This window comes from Homo sapiens, chromosome 5, assembly GCF_000001405.40.
Source record: "Homo sapiens chromosome 5, GRCh38.p14 Primary Assembly".
NCBI classification, from domain to species: Eukaryota; Metazoa; Chordata; class Mammalia; order Primates; family Hominidae; genus Homo; species Homo sapiens.
Window position 1 is genome coordinate 131,597,801 of NC_000005.10, and position 23,698 is coordinate 131,621,498.

At 40.0% G+C, this 23,698-nt stretch overlaps 1 protein-coding gene across 6 annotated transcripts in view; it reads right to left on the reverse strand.

Annotated features, from left to right (window-relative positions):
- The window catches only part of RAPGEF6 (Rap guanine nucleotide exchange factor 6), a 211,309-nt gene that overhangs the window by 173,880 nt on the left and 13,731 nt on the right, over positions 1 to 23,698 (reverse strand). For all 6 annotated transcript variants that reach the window (NM_016340.6, NM_001164388.2, NM_001164386.2 and 3 more), the window contains exons 2-3: positions 6,823 to 6,893; positions 5,471 to 5,527 (exon numbers count right to left, since the gene is read on the reverse strand). In NM_016340.6, coding sequence (NP_057424.3) covers positions 5,471 to 5,527; positions 6,823 to 6,893 — 128 coding nt within the window. The remainder of the gene's footprint in view (positions 1 to 5,470; positions 5,528 to 6,822; positions 6,894 to 23,698) is intronic.

The window sequence follows — 23,698 nt, forward strand, 5'->3', positions numbered from 1 at the left end:
GATTATTATGGTTAACAGTAAAGTACTGTATATTACAAAATAGCTAGAAGAGAGGCTTTTGAATGTTTTCACCACCAAAAAATGATTAAATGTATGAGGTGATGGATATGCTAACTACCCTAATTTGTATATTATATAACACATAACTGTATTGGAATACCAACTTGTACTCCATAAATATACACAACTATAATGTGTCGATTAAAAAGTTAAAAAAAGTATCAACATTGCTGGAAATGAGACCAAATAACCTAAAACCAACAGAAAAAAAACCTGCTATATTTATTACGTTCAAGAAAAAAGGAAAACAGATGATGGATTCAACCAAAGAACTGGTATCTATGAAACAGAAATGAAAATCTAGAATTGAAAAACTACAATTAAAACTTAAAAATTCACATGAGTGGGTATTTTAGACTAGAAACAGCAGAAGACAGAAATTCACAAATTAGAAAATAAGGCAGTAGAAAATGGGAGACTGAAACACAGACAGAAAAAAGGACGGGAAGATGGAAAACAGTGTAAAGGAAATATGGGACAAAATAAAGCAGGAAGGAGGAAAGAGAAAACAGGACAGAAGCAATAATTTTTAAAATACTCTGTAAGAATTTTCCAAAATCGATGAAAGATATCAAATCAGGGTATCATGAAGATCTATAAACCCTAAACAGAATAAATCCAAAGAAAACCATACCTAGCAACATTAGACAAAACTGCTGAAAAGCAAAAAGCAAGAAAAATCTCAGAAGCAGTCAGAGGAAAAAACATATTAACTGCAAAGGAGTAACAAGAACACTGATTACTGAGTCTTCAACATAAATAGAAGCAAGAACATGATAAAACATCTTAAAAGTGTTACAGAAAAAACTGCTCAAACTGTTTATGTTGGAAAAACACCCTCCTAAAACACTGCTGTGAAGAATTAAAGAAGACTAAATAAATGGAAGAATATACATGTTTGCAGATTGACAGATTCATTGTAACAACGTCATTTCTCTCTGAATTGATTTATGGATTTAATGCTATCCTAATCCAAAGCCCACAGCCTCCCAAAGGCTTTCTTGTGTATAACTGTGTGTGGAAATTGACAAGCTGATTCTAGAATTTACACAGAAAGGCAAAGCAACAGTGATAGCCAAGACAATCTTGAAGAACAAGCCTGAGTACAAGCCTGAGTTACTCTACTGAATACAAACTCATGCTATCAGATATCAAAACACACAGCTTAGGCCGAGCGTGGGGGCTCACGCCTGTAATTTCAGCATTTTGGGAGGCAGAGACGGGCGGATTACTTGATGCCAGGAGTTTGAGACCAGCCTGGCCAACGTGGTGAAACCCCGTCTTTACTAAATCCTGTCTCTACTAAAAATACAAAAAGTAGCCGGGCATGGTGGTCCACGCCTGTGGTCCCAGCTACTCGGGAGGCTGAGGCATGAGAATCGCTTGAACCCAGGATGCAGAGGTTGCAGTGAGCCGAGATTTTGCCACTGCACTCCAGCCTGGGTGACAGAGTGAGACTCTGTCTCAAAAACAAAAAACAACAACAACAACAAAACGAACAAACAAAAAAACTCAAACTACACAGCTTGACAGTGCAGTACTTGCATGAACACAGGCATGAGCAAAATAAACAAATGAGCAAAATAAACAATAAACAAATGAGCAATAAACAATTGAGCAAAATAAAGAGACCACACAGAGATACACACACACACACCTACACACACGGGGTCACTTAATTTAACACAAAGTGGACACTGCAGCGCAAGAGAGAAAAAGATAGTTTTTCAATAAATGGTGCTGGATCAACTGGATGTCCATAGGGATACCTAATGAATCTTGCCAATAATAAAATCCATGCCTTCAATCAACAATTTACATTTTAGAAAATTTGTATCCATTACTGTGAGCTTGACACTTCCCTAAACTTTTCAGAAGAGGCTGGTGGTGATATTAGCAATGCCATTTTTGATAAATTTTTTTTTAAAGTGCCAAAATGAGAAAAACTACATACACCAGGACCATGAATATTTTCCAAATGGCCAACGCATGGCATTACAAAAATCAAACATAGAGAAATGATTTATTCAATGTGCAAGATAGACCAATTGTTTCTAATGCAACACAGTAAAAAGTTCATGGATAAAGTCTCAGACCCCATACTGAAACTAATCTGTAAGCAACCTGTCAAGTTTTGGTACTGTTTTAAAGAAGAATACCCAACTTATCTGAAAAGAACTTTCCCGCATTTTTTTTTGTTTTAACAACTTCTCTGTATGAAGATTTCTTTCATTCAAAAAATATATCACAACAGACTGAATGCAACAGATATGACAATCCGATTAATGTCAGAAAGATATTAGATTTGCTAAACTATAATTAAATCTTTTATGAAAATAGTTCTTTCTCATAAATGTTAATTGTGTTAACATGTAATGAGGCTGGGCGCAGTGGCTCATGCCTGTAATCCCAGCACTTTGGGAGGCCGAGGCAGGCAGATCACCTGAGGTCACGAGTTCAAGACCAGCCTGGCCAATGTGGTGAAACCCCATCTCTACTAAAAATACAAAAATTAGCCAGACGTGGTGGCACGCGCCTGTAGTCTCAGCTACTTCGGAGGCTGAGGCAGGAGAATCGTATGAACCCAGGAGGCGGAGGTTGTAGTAAGCCGAGATCGCGCCACTGCACTCCAACCTGGGTGACATGGTGAGACGAAAAGAACTAACGAGAAGGAAGGAAGGAAGGAAGGAAGGGAGGGAGGGAGGGAGGGAAAAGAGAGGAGAGGAGAGGGGAGGGGAAGGGAGGGGAGAGAAGAGGAGAGAAGAGGAGAGGAGGAGGGAGCGAAGGAAGGAAGGAAGGAAGGAAAAAAAGAAACGTGATGGGTTTCTCATTAAATTTAAAATGACTAATAAATATTTTTAAAATTAAGAAAAATGAATCTTGAATTCTACCTCACATCAAAAGTAAAACTCAATTCCAAGATGAATTGTAGATCTATATTTGAGACAGAAAACACCAAACTTTTGGAGGAGAAACAAAGAAAATCTTCGCAATCATGAAGAAAGGAAAGATTTGATTTTTTTTAAAACAGGACACAAAAGGCCCTAATCACAAGGGGACAAGTTGAGAAAGGAATTACTCTTTCTCAAAAGATGCCAATAATAGAGCAAAAAGAGCTGGGTGTAGTGGCGTATGCCTGTAATCCTCGGGAGTCTGAAGCAGGAGGATCTCTTGAGCCTAGGAGTTCAAGACTGGCCTGGGCAACGCAAGAAAACTCCATTTCAAAAAAAAAAAAAAAGAAGGCTGGGAGCGGTGGCTCACGCCTGTAATCCCAGCACTTTGGGAGGCCGAGGCGGGTGGATCACCTGAGGTCACGAGTTCAAGACCAGCCTGACCAACATGGTGAAACCCCATCTCTACTAAAAATACAAAAAATAAGCTGGGCATGGTGGCGGGCGCCTGTAATCCCAGCTACTCGGGAGGCTGAAGCAGGAGAATCCCTTGAACCCGAGAGGCAGAGGTTGCAGTGAGCCAAGGTCACACCATTGCACTCCAGCCTCAGTGACAAGAGCGAGACTCCGTCTCAAAAAAAAAAAAAAAAAAGGAAAAGTGGCACAGTGGAAATAGATAATAGACTAGACATACCCAACAAAGGACTTCCACTCAGAATTCAAAAATAACTTTTACAAATCAACAGAAATGATAAAGACAACCCAATTAATAAAAGAAGCTATCCAAATACCTGATAGAAACATAAATGTCATTCATCATCATTAGTAACAGGAAAATGTAAAATAAAATCACAATGAACTAACATAATGTAATCAGCAGCAGAGTAGCAAAAATTCAAAATAAGCAAACAATAAAACACAAACATTAAGGGTTGTCAAACATGTAGAGCAACTGGAACTTAACTATACACAGCTAATGGTTATTAAAATTGGCACAATTGGCCGGGCGCAGTGGCTCACGCCTGTAATCATAGCACCTTGGGAGGCTGAGGCAGGCAGATCATGAGGTCAGGAGATCGAGACCATCCTGGCTAACACAGTGAAACCCCGTCTCTACTAAAAATACAAAAAAAATTAGCTGGGCATGGTGGTGGGCACCTGTAGTCCCAGCTACTCAGGAGGCTGAGGCAGGAGAATGGCACGAACCCAGGAGGCGGAGCTTGCAGTGAGCTGAGATTGTGCCAGTGTACTCCAGCCTGGGCGACAGAGCGAGACTCCGTCTCAAAAAAAAAAAAAAAAAATTGGTACAACTAATTTTAAAAAACTGTCACAATCTCCTGAATTTGAACATGCACATTTCCACTACAGTCATGCCTTGCTTAATGATGGTGATACTTTCTGAAAAATGCATCATTAGATGATTTCATCATGCTAACATCATAGAGTGTACTTAACACAAACCTAGAAGATGGTATAGCCTACTATACATCTAGGTTATATGGTATAGCCTATTGCTCCTAGTTTACATACTTGCACGGCATGTTACTCTACTGAATACTGCAGGCAACTTGACACAATAGTCCATCACTGACTGAAACAACGTTATGTGGCACATGACCATAATTTTATTCCTAGGAATATCCTCAACAGGAGTAAGCAATAAGGGCACAAAAATAACAGAATGTTAATAGAAACTGTATTATTTATAATACTAAAAATTAGAAATTGGCCAGGCACGGTGGCTCACACCTGTAATTCCAGCGCTTTGGGAGGCCGAGGCAGGTGGATCACCTGAGGTCAGAAGTCTGAGACCAGCCTGACCAACATGGTAAAACCTCATCTCTACTAAAGATACAAAAAGTAGCCAGGCATGGCGGCTAATGCCCGTAAACCCAGCTACTTGGGAGGTTGAGGCACCAGAATCACTTGAACCTGGGAGGCGGAAGTTGCAGTGAGCCAAGATTATGCCATTGCACTCCAGCCTGGGCGACAAGTGCGAAACTCCATCTCAAAAACAAACAAACAAACAAACAAAAAGAAAACTAGAAATAACCCAACTATTAACAGTGGAAGGGACAAACAAATCATTATTTGCACACAATTATATATTGTACAGCAGTGAAAAAGAACACATACAAAAACAGAAAAATTTGGATATTTATTAAGTAAAAAAGCATCACCAAAAGATTCTCTCTATACCAAGTTCAATAAGTGGCAAAACTAACCTACAGTGATACAAGTCAGAATTGTCATTACCTTTCAAAGTTGATTAGAGCCTTCTGGAAAACTGGTATCTCTATTTTCATCTGAGTAGTCATTACACATTTAGTATATATTTATTAAAATTCATTGCTTTGTACACTTTTGGTGGATTCTATGTATGTTATATACTTCATGGTCTATGAATATTTTTCAGTGTGCTCTACATAAATTGTCCCAGAATCAAATGAATTTCAATGCTAAGAGTTAAAATTTAAACATAAAAGTCATTAGTTTATGTGAATTATGGAAATACTTACCAAAAGAGAACCTGATTGCCACTGTATCTCTCATAGCGTGCTCTTGCAGACATTAATCTATTAAAAAAAAAAATTGAAGATTTTATCTTACATTTTGTTTTTAAAATTGTTATAATTTGACCTCAACTAATTATTATAATCTAATTGATTGTTAGAAAATGACCAAATCTACCAGTATGTTGTCACTAAACTACAGAGAGTTTAGAAATATATGTGTATTTTATATATATACATAATGCAATAATATAGGTAATATTCAGTGGCATCAACCTTAATACTCTTTATGTACATTACAAAATCTGTCAAAATCTGTCAGTTCACACCAAATAATGTTTTCATTACAAAAAATATACATTTGTCTGATTCACTACTGAATCCTCAGTGTGAAGAACAGTTACTGGCAGAGGCATGTACATACAAAAAAATTGCTGAATATATAAATCAGTTTGCAATAAAAAATATTTTGAGTATTACAAAATGCTAATTTTTCAGTTTTCTTTCTTCCTGATATAATTATTTGGCATACACTAACAGCTGAATTATGTTATACAGAAAATATATAATAAATAATAAATCTCTAATAATTATATTTTATCAATCTGGTCAATAACCAGAAACTTGATGAAAACCCAGGAAAAGTCACTGGATAAGCTGTTCGTGGTGGGAACACATGTTTAATTAAAATATTATATAGTTAAGTGTTTTATAGCACTCGAAAGTGTTTTTATAAATATAATCATAATGATATATGATAACCAGGACAGATAGCCAGCCCATTTTTCAGAAGAAAAAAACAAGGTTCAGAAAGTTTATGGGTTTTCTCCACAGGAGCTTAGGCCAAATCAAGATTCCTGCTCCTTTCACTTGTATAATACAACACTATAATACAACATACCATACCCAGCTGAAGCATTTGGCATAATAAATATCAACACAAACTACAAAAAGATAACAGGAGTTTTGTCTTTACTAACTAGCACAACCTCAACACTGTGTTTTGCTTTAGGTACTTATTTTCATTTAATCCTTGAAATACTTCAACAAAGATACTATCATTACCCCTATTTTATTGAAGACAAAACCACAGTTAAAGGTTAGTTCTGACTTAAGGTCCCATGGCTAAGAAAAACTGAATAAGAAAAACAAATTCAGTTTTTATTGTCAGTGTTTTTCCCCAACTCCAAAATCACCCCTACCAAAATATAAACTCCAGGAAACCAGGGATCTAATCTATAATGCATATACCAAGGGCTTAAAACAATAAGGAATATAAAGGTGCTTAACAAATATTTGGTGAATAAATGAATGAATGGCTATACAGCGTGTGCTCTTAAATACAGAACGACACTTACCTAAGCTGATGTTCCCTGAGATTTGATAATATTTCCATTCCATGAAGATAAGAATAAATAGTATTTAAGTCCTGTGGAACAGAAGAAAAAAATTAGATTATTTTTCAAATATGCTGTTTAAAATATAAGGCACCCCACAATTCTGATTTTAAGCAAACAACCACTTATGGCAAAGCAGTTAACTATGGAAAAATCATAAAACCTCTGAATCATAAAAGATTTGAAAAGGCAGAGAAGAGATCCCTCAGCTCTCAAAGGAACTCCTCTTCAACGTGACCAATGGCCTCTATTCATTCAAACAATGCCAGAACCCCAAATTCATTATTTTATATGAAAGTATATTAATTCATTATTTCACTTCTAAGCAGATGTAAACTTTCCTTCTTTAGTGGCCTCCAAATATTTGATATCCAATATCCTGGCTGACATCTCTAGAGATGACCCAGTTTATCAATATTCCTCTTAAAATATGACTTTCTAAAGAATTTCTTTCTAAAGAGACTCAAAATGACATAATCTACCACTAAATAAAAAAGATTTCCAATGGTACAATCCTATTGTTCACTCTGTGAAAGAGGTAGAACATCTTTCTCTATTCCTCACCCAGATAACTAGGCATTAAAACAACAACAACAACAAAAACCTCAAGATGACATAGTATAACCTCAACTAAGAGCAGTGGCATAGCAGAAGAAAGTGGAAAGAGTCTATAGATCCCTAACAGCAAATAGTATTGTACCACTGATGTCATTTAAGATTAAAAGCAGACAAGCTACGAGCTGATGGGTGCAGCACACCAACATGGCACATGTATACATATGTAACTAACCTGCACGTTGTGCATATGTACCCTAAAACTTAAAGTATAATAAAAAATAAATAAATAAAAAATAAAAAGCAGACAAGCTTAAATTCGCTATAAAAAACATACTTCCTATTTCCTATGAGGAATAATGCCTTTATACCAGGGCAAACTACTTCCAAACACTGCCTTCCCACTCTGATATACAACTGGCCAAGAAAATTATCAGATAGTAGTGGGGGTACTGGGGGAGAAACTAAAGACAACTTGTTTTCTAGTAGGTTAATAAGACAACACGGAGCCATTAAGAAAAGCAGCAAGCTAGGCTGGTCACGGTGGCTCACGCCTGTAATCCCAACACTTTGGGAGGTCGAGGCGGGCGGAACATGAGGTCAGGAGATCAAGACCAACCTGGCTAACACAGTGAAACTCCATCTCTACTAAAAATACAAAAAATTAGCCGGGTATGGTGGCAGGTGCCTGTAGTCCCAGCTACTCGGGAGGCTAAGGCAGGAGAATGGCGTGAACCCGGCAGGCGGAGCTTGCAGTGAGCTGAGATTGTGCCACTGCACTCTAGCCTGGGTGACAGAGTGAGACTCCATCTCAAAAAAAAAAAAAAAAAAAAAAAAGAAAAAGAAAAGAAAAGAAAAGCATCAAGCTGAGCACAGTGGCTCTCGCCTGTAATCCCAGCACTGTATGAGGCCAAGGTGGGTGGATCACTTGAGCCCAGGAGTTAGAGACCAGCCTGGGCAACATGGTGAAACTTGCCTCTACAAAAAATAATTTAAAAAAATTAGCCAGGCTTGTGGTACACATCTGTAGTCCCAGCTACTTAGGAAGCTGAGGTGTGAGGGATGGCTTGAGCCTGGGAAGAAGTTGCAGTGAGCCGAGATCGCACCACTGCACTCCAGTCTAGGCGATTGAGACTCCATCTCAAGGGAAAAAAAAAAAAAAAAAAGGCAATAATCTCTAATTCCAAAGATAACAACTGTCAATTAACCACAGTGAATTGAACAACCACATTTATTTCTGCTAAATCCTTACTAAAGTAACAGTGAAAAAGATATTTAAGTATATAAAAATAAAGATTTGAATAGGTTAAAAGAAAGGTCTACCAAATTTTAGCAGATAGCAGATGAAGCACTGATATGGTAAACTGTATTTCCAAAGATGGCCACAGAGGTATTTCTTATCCCATATGCTCTTTTGCAATGCAGTCTTGCCAGTTACCCATCAAAACCTGGAATCTATGTGCCCTCCCCACAGATGTGGGTTGGCTCTGTGACTTGTTCTGACCAAAAGAATACGATAGAAGTGAGGTTGTATAAAAGATTCAAGCACCCTGAGACCACTAATGTTGTGAGGAAGCTCCAGCTAGCCTTAGGGAGGCAGAAAGGCCACATGGAATAACACCAAGGTACTAGATATGTAAGTTATGCCTTCCTAGAGCAGCTTAGAGCTACCAATTGAATGGAACTAAAAGAATGATCCCAATTGAGGCTCTACGGGGTAAAAGCACCAACCACTCAGCCAGAACCTGCTGAATGTAGGTAATAAAGAGAGTCATGGCAAAAGTGTGGCTCACAGTGGGTCCACTGAGTCTGCAGATCCACCTAATAATGGTCATTCCCCACTCCCTCAGTTTATAATTAGAATTTATATACTTGGCAGTTAGAATACCCTAAATAATGGGTCCATGACCTGTGTGGTAAAAGCCGTCACAATGGAAAAAGCCAAGTGGAAACCTCTGCCCCATTCCCCAGAACAAGACAGTAAATAAAAGACTATTTCTTCCAGAGGGGCACAGAATAAAGACTAGTGCCACCAGTAAAGACTCAGAAGTACGCAGAGGTAATAGTTTCTATTGTATTCTATTTAATTTATGGAGAAAGCAGACAGATCCTAAAAAATGACTGTGCAGACTACCACAGAATGAACCAAATTCTAGCCCTAATCACAGCCTGCAGTCTCAGCCATAATATTGCTGCTGAAGCTGATTAAGCCTCAAATACTGATGTGGTGTTACTTTCCATTACTTTACTTTCCATTCCAATTAGAAGATCAGAAAAAAATCTGCATCCATGCAAGGCAATATTAACTTACAGTTTTATCTTAGGACTCTTAACTCTTCCGCTCTCTGTCATAACACAGTCAGTGGGGGTTGGGTGGGGGACAGACATCTAAACCTCCTGATCTATTTACATATATTACATCATGCTGATTGGACAGAATGAATAAAAGAATAGGCTAGAGGTGACTGGTACCCTTAGAGTCCTTGGTAACACACATGCGGCTCCAGAAAATGGGAGATAAACACTATGAAGACTCAAAAGATATGCCATTTCAGTGAAGTTTTTCGGGATACAGTGGTTGGGGGCACGTCAGGACACCTCCTGCAATGTCGAAGTGACTTTGGCTTTAGGTCAAGATAAAATAAAAGAAACTAGACTTACTCTTCACCTAAAACAACTAAAAACAACAACAAAAAAGACAAATATATAAAACGTTTTTCATAAGATAGGACATCCGGAAATATCTAAAGTGAAGTAAAGATCCACCTGAAAAAATCATTGTAGTAGTCCTGAACTAAGACTGATTCTTCCCATCTTGGTGATATTTAGCAACGTCTGGAGTTATTTTAGGCTGTCACAATTTTGAGGGAGTGGTGCTACTGGCATCATGTAGGTAGAAGAGATACTGCTAAACATAGCCATGCCCATTCATTTACCTATTGGCTATGGCTCTTTTCATGCTATAAAAGCAGAGTTAAGTAGTTGTAAGAAAAATCATCTGGGCCACAAAACCTAAAACATTCACTATTTGGCCCTTTATAGAAAAAGTCTGTTAACCCTGGATAAGAATGTCTATATTTTAAATCTTATCAGTTATGAAATGCTGGGAACATTCCTGAAATCCAAGTTCCCAGATGCCAGCCGCCAAAAAAGACTACTTTACAAATAGGTCTTCCTAAGGACAGCAGTCTCAGATCTGTTCTATTAACTCTTTTTTTGACAGGCTATGTTGAAGTCACATTCAGGAACAGCCTTAAAAGAAAGAGAAAAGGAAAAATCTCCTCAATGGGTAGAGTTGTGAGCAGTAGATATGGGTCATGCCAAAGGATAGCAGCTGCTATGGTTTGGATATGGTTTGTCCCTGCCAAAACTCATGCTAAAATTTGATCCCCAATGTAGCAGTGTTAGCAGGTAGGACCTAGCAAGAGCTGTTTGGGTCATGCGGGTGGATCCCTTGTAAATAGATCAATGCTTGTCTGAGGGGGTAAGTGAGTTCTCACTCTCACAGAAACCAATTGGTTCCCCCGAGAGAGGGTTGTTAAAAAAAGTCTGGCTTCCTTGGTTTCTCTCTCTTGCTTCCTCCCTTACCACGTGATCTCTTTTTTTTTTCGCAGCATCAGCATGGCTCACTGCAGCCCCAACCTCCTGGGCTCAAGCAATCGTCCCACCTCAGATTCCTGAGTAGCTGGGACTACAGGCACATGCACACAACACCATGCCCATTTAGTTTTATTTATTTATTTATTTTATTTTCTGTAGAGACAAGGTCTTGCTTTGCTGCCCAGGCTGGTCTCGAACTCCTGGGCTCAAGCAATTCTGCCTTGGCTTCCCAAAGTGCTGAGATTACAGGCGTGAGCCACTGCGCCCAGCCTGCCATGTGATCTTGCACACACTTGCTCCCCTTTCACTTTTTGCCATGAGTAGAAGCAGTCTGAGGCCCTCATTGGATGCAGGTGGCCAATCTAGAATCTTCCAGTCACCAGAATTGTGAGCCAAATAAAGCTCTTTCTTTATAAATGACCCAGCCTCAAGTATTCTGTTATAGCAACACAAAACAGACAAGACAGTGGCCCAAGGTGAAAATATATGTAAATTCCAGTGCATGGATGTCTGGTCAGGGGTCTAGAAGGAAAAAGACAAAAAGATCAGGGACAAGGAGGGATAGGGTAAAGACACAGGATGGAGACATGGGAATGGGCACAAAGTGTATAAAGTTTTCTGTATTCCACACTAATGCCCACCAAAAGGCATTAAACATGGAAGAGGCACTGAACAACCATGAAGATAAAAAAGGATATCCCAGAACTGGCACAATTAATAGATGATTAGACTGACCACAATGACACTAGATAGAGGCTACACATGTGTCCAACAATATAAACTTCCACTTATCAAGGTCTGTCTAGCTACTGCTACTTCTGAATGTCCAACCTGTCAGCAACAGAGACCAACCGTATGAGTTCCTGATATGATCCTATTATTCAAGAAGAGCAACCAGTCATTTGATAACAAGTAGACTATATATGGTGTCTCTCATCCCAGAACGGCCAGTAGTTCATTTCACAGTGATAGATATCTATATTCTGGGTTTGGGTTTATCTTACTTACCTCAGAGGTTCAGCCAGGATCATAATCCAGGGGCTTCCAGAATGCCTGAACCACAGGACTAGAATCCCACATACCAGAGTCCAACCAGTGGACCCAATTCAAAGCAAACACAGGAGTATGATCACAACCTTGGGACCACTAGTCATATCACATACCACACAATCCAGAAGCAACTGGCCTCACAGAACGCTGTAATAACCTTATAAAGGCATAGCTGAACTTTCAGCTTAAAGGCAATAATGTGAAATAATGGAATGACACCTTTTAATATGAAGATACATCAAACCACAGACCTCTATATGGAGCAGTGTATACAGCAGGAAGAACAGATGGGCCTAGAAACAAATGAGTAGAAGCAAGAGTCACCCATTTATCATTATTCCCAATGAGCCACAAAGGGATTTTGTACTTCCCATTCCTACAGCTATGGACTCTGCATGTTTGCAGGTCCTGGTTCCAAAGGCCTATACTCTTGCCAGGCAACAGTACAAGAGTCTCAGTGAACAAGTTTACAGCTGCCACCAGGGCACTTTAAACACCAGGGCCCAAGAATCAGCAGGTAAGAAGAGTTGCCATTTTGGCAGGGATAACTGATCCTGAGCAGTAGGTGGACGCAGGGCTGCTTTTATGTAATGTGAACAGAGAGGAATGTGTGGAATCCACATGACTCGCTTGGTTATTCCTTTACCTCACTGTAACTGTAAACGGATATATATCCCAGCATTAGCCTGAGAAGAATGATTACCAAGGGTTCAGACATTTCAGGAAAGAAGGCTTGAGTCATACCAACATATAAGCCACTGAGACCTGCAGAGCTGATTATGTGAGGAGAAAACAAAATGCATAGTGGAGGAGAGAGGATAAGTACCAGTTGCAACCCCGAGATCAACCATACAGGGGCTATAATTCTTCCCACCACCATCTCTTGTCTAAGTTTCTTCTCAGGAAAAGAAGCTCATTGAGAGCCATGGAGGAGCTGCTCCCTGAACTTCAAACCTATGTGAAGAAGTAGATTTGTGTGGTGCAAAGTGTAAGCTCAGGTGGCCTTGAAAATATGCCTCTCAGATTCCAAACTACAGGGAGTGTATTTGAACAAAATCCCTATTACGGGGCTCTGTAATTTATCAACATGTTTGAACTGGGGCCCAGCTTCCCATGCGATACTCCCAATCAATAACTGAGCCTGGTAAAAATACTAAGGAATGCCTGTTCTGGGAGACTCAGGAATACTCTGATGGGTTCAAGGATTCTCCTTCCACCTTGCTAAACCACTGTTACAGTGCAGTCTAAGGCTCTTCCACTCAAACTTCCTTTCGTCTCTCCTTCACAAATGTCACATGAGCATTCTGGTGTGAATGCTCTACCAACTCTCTCCATTTTTGCTCAGAGGCATTTTCCCTAATAAATTCCTTGCATGTCTAATATTGTTGTGACAACTGCTTCTAACAGAACCCAGACTAACACGAACACTTTGTAGTATTCAGTAAATAAATTTTCTATACTTTTTGTTGGATTTATTCTTAAATATTTAGTTTTCTAGTATTTTTAAATAATGTCATGTTTGGCTGGGTGTGGTGGCTCACACCTGTAATCCCAATACTTTGGGAGGCCAAAGTGAGTGGAGATCAACTCAGGTCAGGAGTTCGAGACCAGCCTGGCTAATATGGTGAAACCCCGTCTCTACTAAAAATACAAAAATTAGCTATGTGTGGTGGTGCATGCCTACAATCCCAGCTACTCAGGAGGCTCAGGCACAAAAATCACTTGAACCTGGGAGGTAGAGGTTGCAGTGAGCCGGGATCATGCCACTGCACTCCAATCTGCGTGACAGAGTGAGATTCTTGTCTCAAAAAGAGTCATTTTTTAAACTAGAGGCTTTTTGGTTTATTGCTGGTTTACATAAATCAATTGATTCTATATAATAAACTTGAGTCCAACCATCTTGTTAATAAATTCACTTAATTTTCAGAGTTTGTAGATTATTTTTGATTCTCTGCATATACAATGGCCCTGCCTATGAATACAGTATTATTTCTTTCTTCCCAAATTATACACTTTCCCCCATTTTTTCATGCCTTATTATGTAACAATAGCCGGAGTAAGTGTGGCCATATAGAGACAGTCCCCATCTTACAATGGTTCGACAAGATTTCCTGACTTTACAATGATGCAAAAGCGATATGCATTCAGTGGACACTGAATTATGTTTCTGTCTTGTTTTGCTTTTAGAGACGGGGTCTCACTCTGTCACCCAGGCTGAGTGCAGTGACGGCAATCATAGCTCACTGATGCCTCGATCTCCAGGACTGAAGCAATCCTCCCACGTTGGCCTTCCAAGTGGCTGGGACTACAGGCGTGCACCACCATGCTCAGCTAATTTTTTTTTTTTTTTTTTTTTTTTTGGTGATGACAGCCTGGGAAACGATAATTTGAATATCCATTCAATCATTCTGTTTTTCACCGTTTTCTGTACAGTATTCAATAAATCATACCAGATACACAACACTTTATTATAAAATAGGCTTTGCGTTAGATGATTTTGCCCAACTGTAGGCTAATGTAAGTGTTCTGAGCATGTTTAAGGTAGGCTAAGCTATGATTTTTGGTAGGTAAGGTATATTAAATGCATTTCTGACTTACAAGATTTTCAACTTACCATGGTTGTATTATGATATAACCCCATTGTAAGTCAAGGAATGTCTGTACTACAAACACGGCTGCCTGGGCCCCAACCACTGAGTTAGGTGTAGGCAGGCAGGCACTCACAAAATGTCTATCCTGTGGAAATGTGCTTGTAATTTTTGACAAGACAACTTGTTCTGGTGGCAAACAAGTTCTGAAAATTGTAATACACAAAAGTTAGGTTATGGCAAACAGAACTCCCATAACTTGACTTACTCCATGTGGGTAGGCTAGTGTTACAGGGAACCAGAATTTTCTAAGACTCTCAACTAAACTTATATCATATAATTTTCTCCTTTCTCAAGTTACAGGACATCTTCGGCACATCATTAACAATGCCATGAATATATGAGAAAGAATTAGAAATTAACTTTTCAATGTTAAAGTCTGAAAGAGAATTTCACTCACAAGTTTGAGATATACATGTATCTTCAGTTCTCTGCCTAAAGAGAGACTAATAAGGTTTATCACTTTAAATCTGAAAAGCCCCTCCTCAAAGAGCTTCAAATATTTGTTTGTAATCTCCTTATTTTAAAGGGACAATTTGGACAAATGAACATGTAGTCCTTCACAACATCTGTAATGTTGACTGCATGACCCTGAACTAAAATATCAGCATTATGGCCAGGTGTGGTGGCTCACGCCTATAATCCCAGCACTTTGGGAGGCCCAGGCAGGCAGATCATGAGGTCAGGAGATCAAGACCATCCTGTCTAACACGGTGAAACCCCGTCTCTACTAAACATACAAAGAATTAGCCGGGCATGGTGGCGGGCGCCTACAGTCCCAGCTTCTTGGGAGGCTGAGGCAGGAGAATAGTGTGAACCCAGGAGGCAGGGCTTGCAGTGAGCTGAGATTGCGCCACTGCACTCCAGCCTGGGCGACACAGCGAGACTCCGTGTGTCTGTCTGTCTGTGTGTGACTCTCTCTCTCTCTTCATATATATATATATATGTATGTATGTCAGCATTATTCCTGTCAGGGGTTGACAAACTTTTTCAATAAAGGGCCAAATAGTAAATATTTGTGGCCCAGATGGTTTTTTATCACAACTATTTAGCTCTGCTTTTATAATATGAAAACAGCCATGGACAACAGGTAAATGAATGGGTGTGACTGTTCCAATAAAACTTTACTTACAAAAATAGCTGGTCATATTTTGTTAGCTCCTGAAACATATGGTCAAAAATAGCTACAGTGTGGCCAAGCATGAATGAGCTCCTCTCTGACAACAGACCACCTTATAAGTTTCAGTGGAGTTCTGTCTCCCACCATGAAAGCTGAAAACACCAAATTTTTATTTTTCCAACCTCCCATACAACAAAGGCAGGGGCAAATTATTCAAGTGTTACCAATTAGACATATTCATCCCAGACTTTAAATCAGAAGCTAGTGACACCGAGAAGCAAGAACTGCATAGAATCCGCTTGGGCAGCCAGTGGCTGCAGCAGGGTTGTATTAGTCCATTCTCACACTGCTATAAAGAACTACCCGGCTGGACACAGTGGCTCACACCTGTAATCCCAGCATTTTGGGAGACTGTGGTGGGTGGATCACCTGAGGTCAGGAGTTGGAGATCAGCCTGGTCAACATGGTGAAACCCCATCTCTACTAAAAATACAAAGATTAGCTGAGCGTGGTGGCAGGTGCCTGTAATCCCAGCTACTTGGGAGGCTGAGGCAGGAGAATCGCCTGAACCTGAGGGGCGGAGGTTGCAGCAAGCCAAGATCATGCCACTTCATTTCAGCCTGGGTGACAGAGCAAGACTCTGTCTCAAAAAAAAAAAAAAAAAAAAAGAAAGAAAGAAAAAGAAAAAGACTACCGGAGCCGCGGTAATTTATAAAGAAAAGAGGTTTGGCTCATGGTCCTGCAGGCTGTACAGGATGCATGCCTGGGAAGGCCTCAGGAAACTTAAAATCATGGTGGAAGGTGAAAGGGAAGCAAGCACATCTCGACATAGCCAGCAGGAGAGAGACAGCAAAGTAGAACAAAAGTGCTACATGCTTTTAAACAACTCAAGATCTCAAGAGAATGAACTCTCACCATCACGAGAACAGCAAGGGGGCAAATCTGCTCCCATAATCCAATCACCTCCCACAGGTCCCTCCCCCATCACTGGGGATTACAATTCAACGTGAGATTTGGGTGGGGACACAGAGCCAAACCATATCAAGGGTCTACAACATACGCAATGGACAGTACAGGTGGTCCACAGTGCAAACTGTGGCACTCACTATTCACTGCTAGTAGCAGTAGTATCTACCAAATCTGTGATAAGGGTCACAGACCCAAGCCTGTTTTTCTAGTATCCCAAGCCTAGCCCCAAGTCTGGTTTTCCAGTATTCCAAGTAATTCTGTAGCTACCCAGAATCCTTTCAGTAAATTATTTCTTTCGATTGGCCAAAATTGGGTTCTGTTGCATGTAAGTAATAACCCTGTGAGATCCTGAACCAGCACAATCAGCATCATTTAGGAACTTTGTAGAAATGTAAATTATCAGGCCTCACCCCAGATCTAGTCAATCAGAATATCTGGGTTGTAGGGACCAGCAGTCTGTGATTTAATAGGTCCTACAGGTGATTCTTCTGCACACTAAAGTTTGAGAACCACTGTTTATAAGTGGGATCTATGTCACTCTGGATTGTCTGACCTATTAATAGCGAAAGACAACAAGCATTAAGATGCCTAGTAAATCCTAGTCCCTTTCTTTGTGTACCTAGTTTGAGGGTCACAAGAATGCTAAGCATTCACAAAACAGAATAAAGAATGGTTGTAGTGGTGAGCTGATTAATTCTTTTTCATATGATGTGGGGGTTATGGCATTTTGTTTACACAGGACAGCATGGAGTTGTGGAGTCTGTAATGCTGAGCTTGGAAAAGGGTTTCTTGGGGCTTTTGTGTCAATTATCTGCAAGATAAGCTTGAGGTACTATATTATCTATTAGGCATAAAGTCACAAATAAAAAAAGAAAGAACCCTGACAGAGTCAGACTGGAAGTCTTACAGACAGTCTTCGGCAGTAAAAAATTTAAATGCTAGATTCAAGGAGGTGCTAATCATTTACGCTGAATGCACTTGAAAGCTGCTCTATGTAGCTTTCAAGAGGGAAGTCGGCTGGGTACAGTGGCTCACACCTATAATCCCAGCACTTTGGGAGGCAGAGTGGGCGGATTACTTGAGGTAAGGAGTTCACGACCAGCCTGGCCAACATGGCAAAACCCCGTCTCTACTAAAAATACAAAAAAATTAGCTGGGCATGGTGGCGCACACCTGTAGTCCCAGCTACTTGGGAGGCTGAGGCATGAGAATTGCTTGAACCCGGGCACGGAGGCTGCAGTGAGCGGAGATCACACCACTGTACTCCAGCCCGGGCAACAGAGCAAAACCCTGTCTCAATTAAAAAAAAAAAGAGGGAAGTCATGAGAAGGGTGGGAAAACTATCCACCTGGCATATCCTGACATCCCAGATCAGTAACATCTGATTCAGCACTAGTTCTGTAACTGCAACAAAATACTGCAGAAATTGTCCAGGGGTATTAGAAAAACAAGTACCAGCTCAGGATTAGGGAATAAAATAATGGGTTCTACCTAGGGGCGAAAAAAAAAGAAGAAGAAGGTGAGGAAGTGGTGATGACTTGGTACTTCCTAAAACAGATAAGCTACACCCTCTCAGCCAGTAGTTTTTATAGCGAAGGTGGGATAAGCTGAGGTGGGTGGACAGCTGCCATTGTATAACAAGACAACTCTTGTATACCCTTTAAACAATTCTTACTTACAGCATTCATTGCAGGTATATTCTGTGGATTTTCAATTTAGTTGTTAAATGAAAATAAACTCATATTTGGAGCACTGTATAAACAAGTAATTACTAATTTAAACATATATTTCTAATTAAGCAGGTTGGAATTTTTTCCCCTTCCTTAGTTTACAATGTTATGCCAAGCAACTGTGCTGCTCTCGGAAACTCCATTTCCCAATTCTCCTCACTGTCCTTCTACAGGTGTTTAGAAAATCAACCAAAACTTGGAAAACTCAAACTGGGATGCTTAAAAAATTTTTGCATTTTTCTGGTTCTTAAAGTTTAAAACAAGTGAATTTCTTACCTATGATACACTTAATTCATCACATACAACGTTTTTTCTCTGACACAGGCTCTCGCTATGTTGCCCAGGCTGGAGTACAGTGGCACAATCACGACTCACTGCAGCCTCAACCTCCCAGGCTCAAGTGATCCTCCCTCCTGAGACTCTCGAGTGTGCCACCACCCCCAGCTTTTTTTTTTTCCTTTGTAGAGACAAGGTCTATGTTGCCTAGGATGGTCTTGAACTAAGCTCAAAGGATCCTCCTACCTTGGCCTTCCAAAGTGCTGGGATTATAGGTGTGAGTCACCGCACCCAGGCACACAAAACTTTCAATAAAACATCATTATCCAAAACTTTCATTAACCAAGATATTTTATTCATTCTCTTCTTAACCTAGAAAATAAATCTATCCCAGGAATTTTAACAAAGAAAAATGTCCCAGGATAGATCCTAAGGTCAGCACAAATTCAACTGTATCATACATACATTCTGCAGCTATGGTTCTATAATGAAAAGTTATGCTGAGGAATCTTCTACAAATCATTTGGAAGGCAGTCTAACAATGTGGAAGACAGCTGGATGCAGTGGCAGATGCCTGCAGTCCCAGCTACTCAGGAGGCTGAGGCAGGAGGGATCACTTGAGCCCAGAAGTAGGAGGCCAATCTGGGCAATGTGGAGATACTTGGTCTCTAAAAAAACAGCACCACACACACACACACAAAAAAAAACCCAATTTGGACTCTGGAGACAACCGTGTTTAAATTATGCCTATTTCAGCTCTGTTAGTTACTACTTGTGTAAACTTGGATAATCTGCTTAACGTTTATTATCTGTACCACAGAAAAGATAAAATATCTCTGAACACAAACGATTGTTTTTTTGAGACAGAGTTTCACTCTTGTTGCCCAGGCTGGAGTGTAGTGTTACGATCTCAGCCCACTGCAACCTCCACCTCCCGGGTTCAAGCGATTCTCCTGCCTCAGCCTCTTGAGTAGCTGGGATTACAGGCGCCCACCACCACCCCCAGTTAGCAGTGGCTCACGCCTGTAATCTCCAGTACTTTGGGAGGCCGAAGTGGGTGGATCACCTGAGGTCAAGAGTTCGAGACAAGGCTGGACAACATAGTGAAACCCCGTCTCTACTAAAAATACAAAATTTTTAAATGTTTATTAAATGTGCAGCAGAGAGGCTATCACATGGTAAATATATTCTAAAATTACAAAATAAGGATTAAAATACACAGACTACTAAAGCATTTTGGAGATTTAAACAATATGCCAAAGTTAATACCATATATTAAACATAGAACTTATTGATTTTCTCATTCATGGAGGTATAAACAACATTCGGCAAAATGGCAGTAAAGAGGTATAAAACATTTACCACAACTGGAGCCCAGACTTTGGTTTCTAAATTCATTTCTCACTAAAGGGGACTGAAGTTCTTTGGATAAACGGCTGACTTCAGTACTAGAGCAAAGAAAGTCAGGACCTGGAACATCTTTTTATGCCAGAAAGCAAAAAAGTACTTAAAGACTAATGGGGTCACATCAAAAGGACATAGGACCTGACTTTGAAAGGGCTTCCACTGGCTATATTTGGAGCACTTTAATAATTAAAAAGGATGACAATATTGAACACAAAAAATAATCCATTACTTCATAGTGATTTAAAAAAGAGAGGAGAAAGGAAGGTGAGGAAAGCTCTTCTATACAGAAAACAACTAACAAATGTAAAAGAAATATAGAATCAGAAAATTATGGCCAGGCATGGTGGTCCACAACTATAATCCCAGCACTTTGGGAGGTCAAGGTGAGAGGATCACTTGAGGTCAGGAGTTCCAGACCAGCCCAGGCAACACAGTGGAAACCCCATCTCTACTTTAAAAAAAAATACAAAAATTAGCCGGGTGTGATGGCACATGCCTGCAGACTCAGCTACTCAGGAAGCTGAGGCACAAGAATCGCTTGAACCTGGGAGGCAGAGGCTGCAGTGAGCCAAGATCACACCACTGCACTGCAGCCTGAGTGACAAAGGGAGACTCTGTCTCAAAAAAAGAAAAAAAGAAAATTATCACTTTGTAACAGCAAAGTAATAGTTAATTTAGGTGAGGATTATCAATGAATGCTAAAATCACAAGGTAAAACCACTGTTGGAGAACACGACATTCACACATTCTCCAACTATAACTTTGGATCACTTATAAATTATAGCATTGTACCTTTAAAACAAAAGAGATGCAGATGATCCTATTTAGTATGCCCAATAATGGAAAGAACTGACAATGTGTGTCAGTGATGGGACAATACGGGAAGTACAGACCACCACCTATGCAGTTTCTCAACAAAATCATTTCACCTTAATCTAATCATGAGAAAACAACCAGATGAATCCAGATCATGATACATTCTATAAGGCAGCCGGCCAGGCTCTTCAAAAGTGCAATGTTCATGAAAGGAAAAAAAAAAAAAACAGGACTGTTCTAGATTAAAGGAGACTATGGTAACCAAATGTAACGTAACATACCTTGACTAGACCCTGGATTGAAAAATGAAACAGAGGTGTGAGATGGCCAGGTATGGTGGCTCACGCATTTACTAATCATTCTCAGCAAACTAACACAGGAACAGAAAACCAAACACTGCATGTTCTCACTCTTAAGCGGCAGCTGAACAATGAGGATACATGGACACATGGAGGGGAACATCACACACCAGGGCCTGTTGCGGCGGGGCTGGAGGGCGGGGGGGCATAGCATTAGGATAAATAATACCTAATGTAGATGACAGGTTGATGGGTACGGCAAACCACCATGGCATGTGTATACCTATGTAACAAACCTGCACGTTCTGCACATGTATCTGAGAACTTAAAGTATAATTTTAAAAAATTACACCCTAAAATTTTAATTTTTAAGAATGAAAGTCTCAATGATATGCTTAAACTTTAGGACTTCAATAATTAACCACTGAAATTACAACGTATCAAAAGATTGAGCATCCAATTGTTTATAAGTTCAAAGTGTAGCCTTTCACTTCACTTTTCTGATCCTACCATGCATTATGAAGTCACCTAATACTTGTTAATTCTAAATTCCACATGTACTTTTCAATCCTTATCTCTCTTCGAATTCTCTACAGCATTTGACTGCTGACATGTCATTCTCTCTCCTATCCCTTCTGTAATATGGTTCTTTCTGGATTCTCGTCTTAATGAGAAACATTAAGCAACGATTATAAGCACAGACTATGAAATCAGACTGCCTAGGTTTGAATCCTGACTACACTGGGTCTAGCTGTGTGACATTAGACTAATTAATCTCTCTGTGATTCAATTTCCCCGTATGTAAAATGTGGATAATAATACCTTCTTTCACAGGGTTTCTTGAAGGATTAAATGTATATAAAGTTTTCATAACAGCAACAGGCATCCAATAACCACCATACAGTATGCAAGTCTTCAGTATTTTATTTCCATTATTAGCTTTCTGCGGCGGCTGCTTTTTTTCAGTTTTTACTTTTTGTTATTTTGGGTCCATCTGCTCCATCTAAGTCTCCTTCATAGGTTTCTCATTTTTTTCTTATTCCTATAAATGTTTATAAAGTTTATGTTACCAGAACTGCCAACAGCTGCCTTTTATTCACTAGAGACTCTCTACTGTTAGGAATACCTTCCACATCCATAGCTTCAACTATCACATATGCCTATGACTCCCATATTTGTATTTCTAGCCCAAAGCTCTCCACTAAACTTAGATACTATATGTTCTACTGGACACTGAACACTTTCAACCTGGCTGACCCATCAGCAACTCAAGTGCAAAATTCATTACTGGTTCCCTAATTTAGTTAACAGTACTCAGGTTCATTGGCTCTGGCCAGAAATCTGTCAATTCTACTTTCGAAATATCTCCGTTTACTATTGCAAATGAGGCAATTTAGAAATTCAGTATTTCCCAGTGAATAACTGAAATAACTGGATTCTAAAATCCATTCTTTTTTTTTTCTTTTCTTTTTTTTTTGAGACACAGTCTCACTCTGTTGCCCAGGCTGGAGTGCAGTGGCTGAATCTCAGCTGACTGCAACCTCCGCCTCCCAGGTTCAAGCAATTCTCACGCCTCAGCCTCCCAAGCAGCTGGGACTAAAGGCACGCATCACCATGCCCAGCAAATTTTTTGTATTTTTAGTAGAGACAGCATTTTGCCATGTTGGCTAGGTTGGCCTCGAACTCCTGGCCTCAAGTGATCTGCCCACCTCGGCCTCTCAAAGTGCTGAGATTACAGGCATGACAAACCATGCCCACGGTAAAATCCACTCTTCACATATACTGCCAAAGCGATCTTTCTGGAAGCCAAATCTAAATTCCTTAATAAGGAGAACACAATTCCTCATGATCTGGATCCTGACAATTCCTCCAGCTTCATCTACTTTACCATTCATTCTTGTCCCAGTGTTCCAGCTGCCTAGGCAACTTGCATGTACATACCATACGTATCCTGTGGCCTTGGCATATGCTGTTACCCTTTCAAGAAACACACCTTCCCTTCTACACTTAAATTTCTATATATAGTTGTTCCTTGGTATCCACTGGGTTCATTCCAAGAGCCTTTGTGGATATCAAAACCCATAGACACTTGAGTCCCTTATATAAAATGGTGTAGTATTTGCATATAACCTACAGACATCCTCTGGTAGGCTTTATTTTCTTTTTCTTTTTTTTTCAGACAGGGTCTCACTGTGTTGCCCAGGCTGAAGTGCAGTGGCACGATCACAGCTCACTGCAGCCTCAACCTCCTGGGCTCATGCGATCCTCTCATCTCAGCCTCCTGAGTAGCTGGCATGCACCACCACACCCTGCTGATTTTTGTACTTTTTTGTAGAGATAGGGTTTCACCATGTTGCCCAGGCTGGT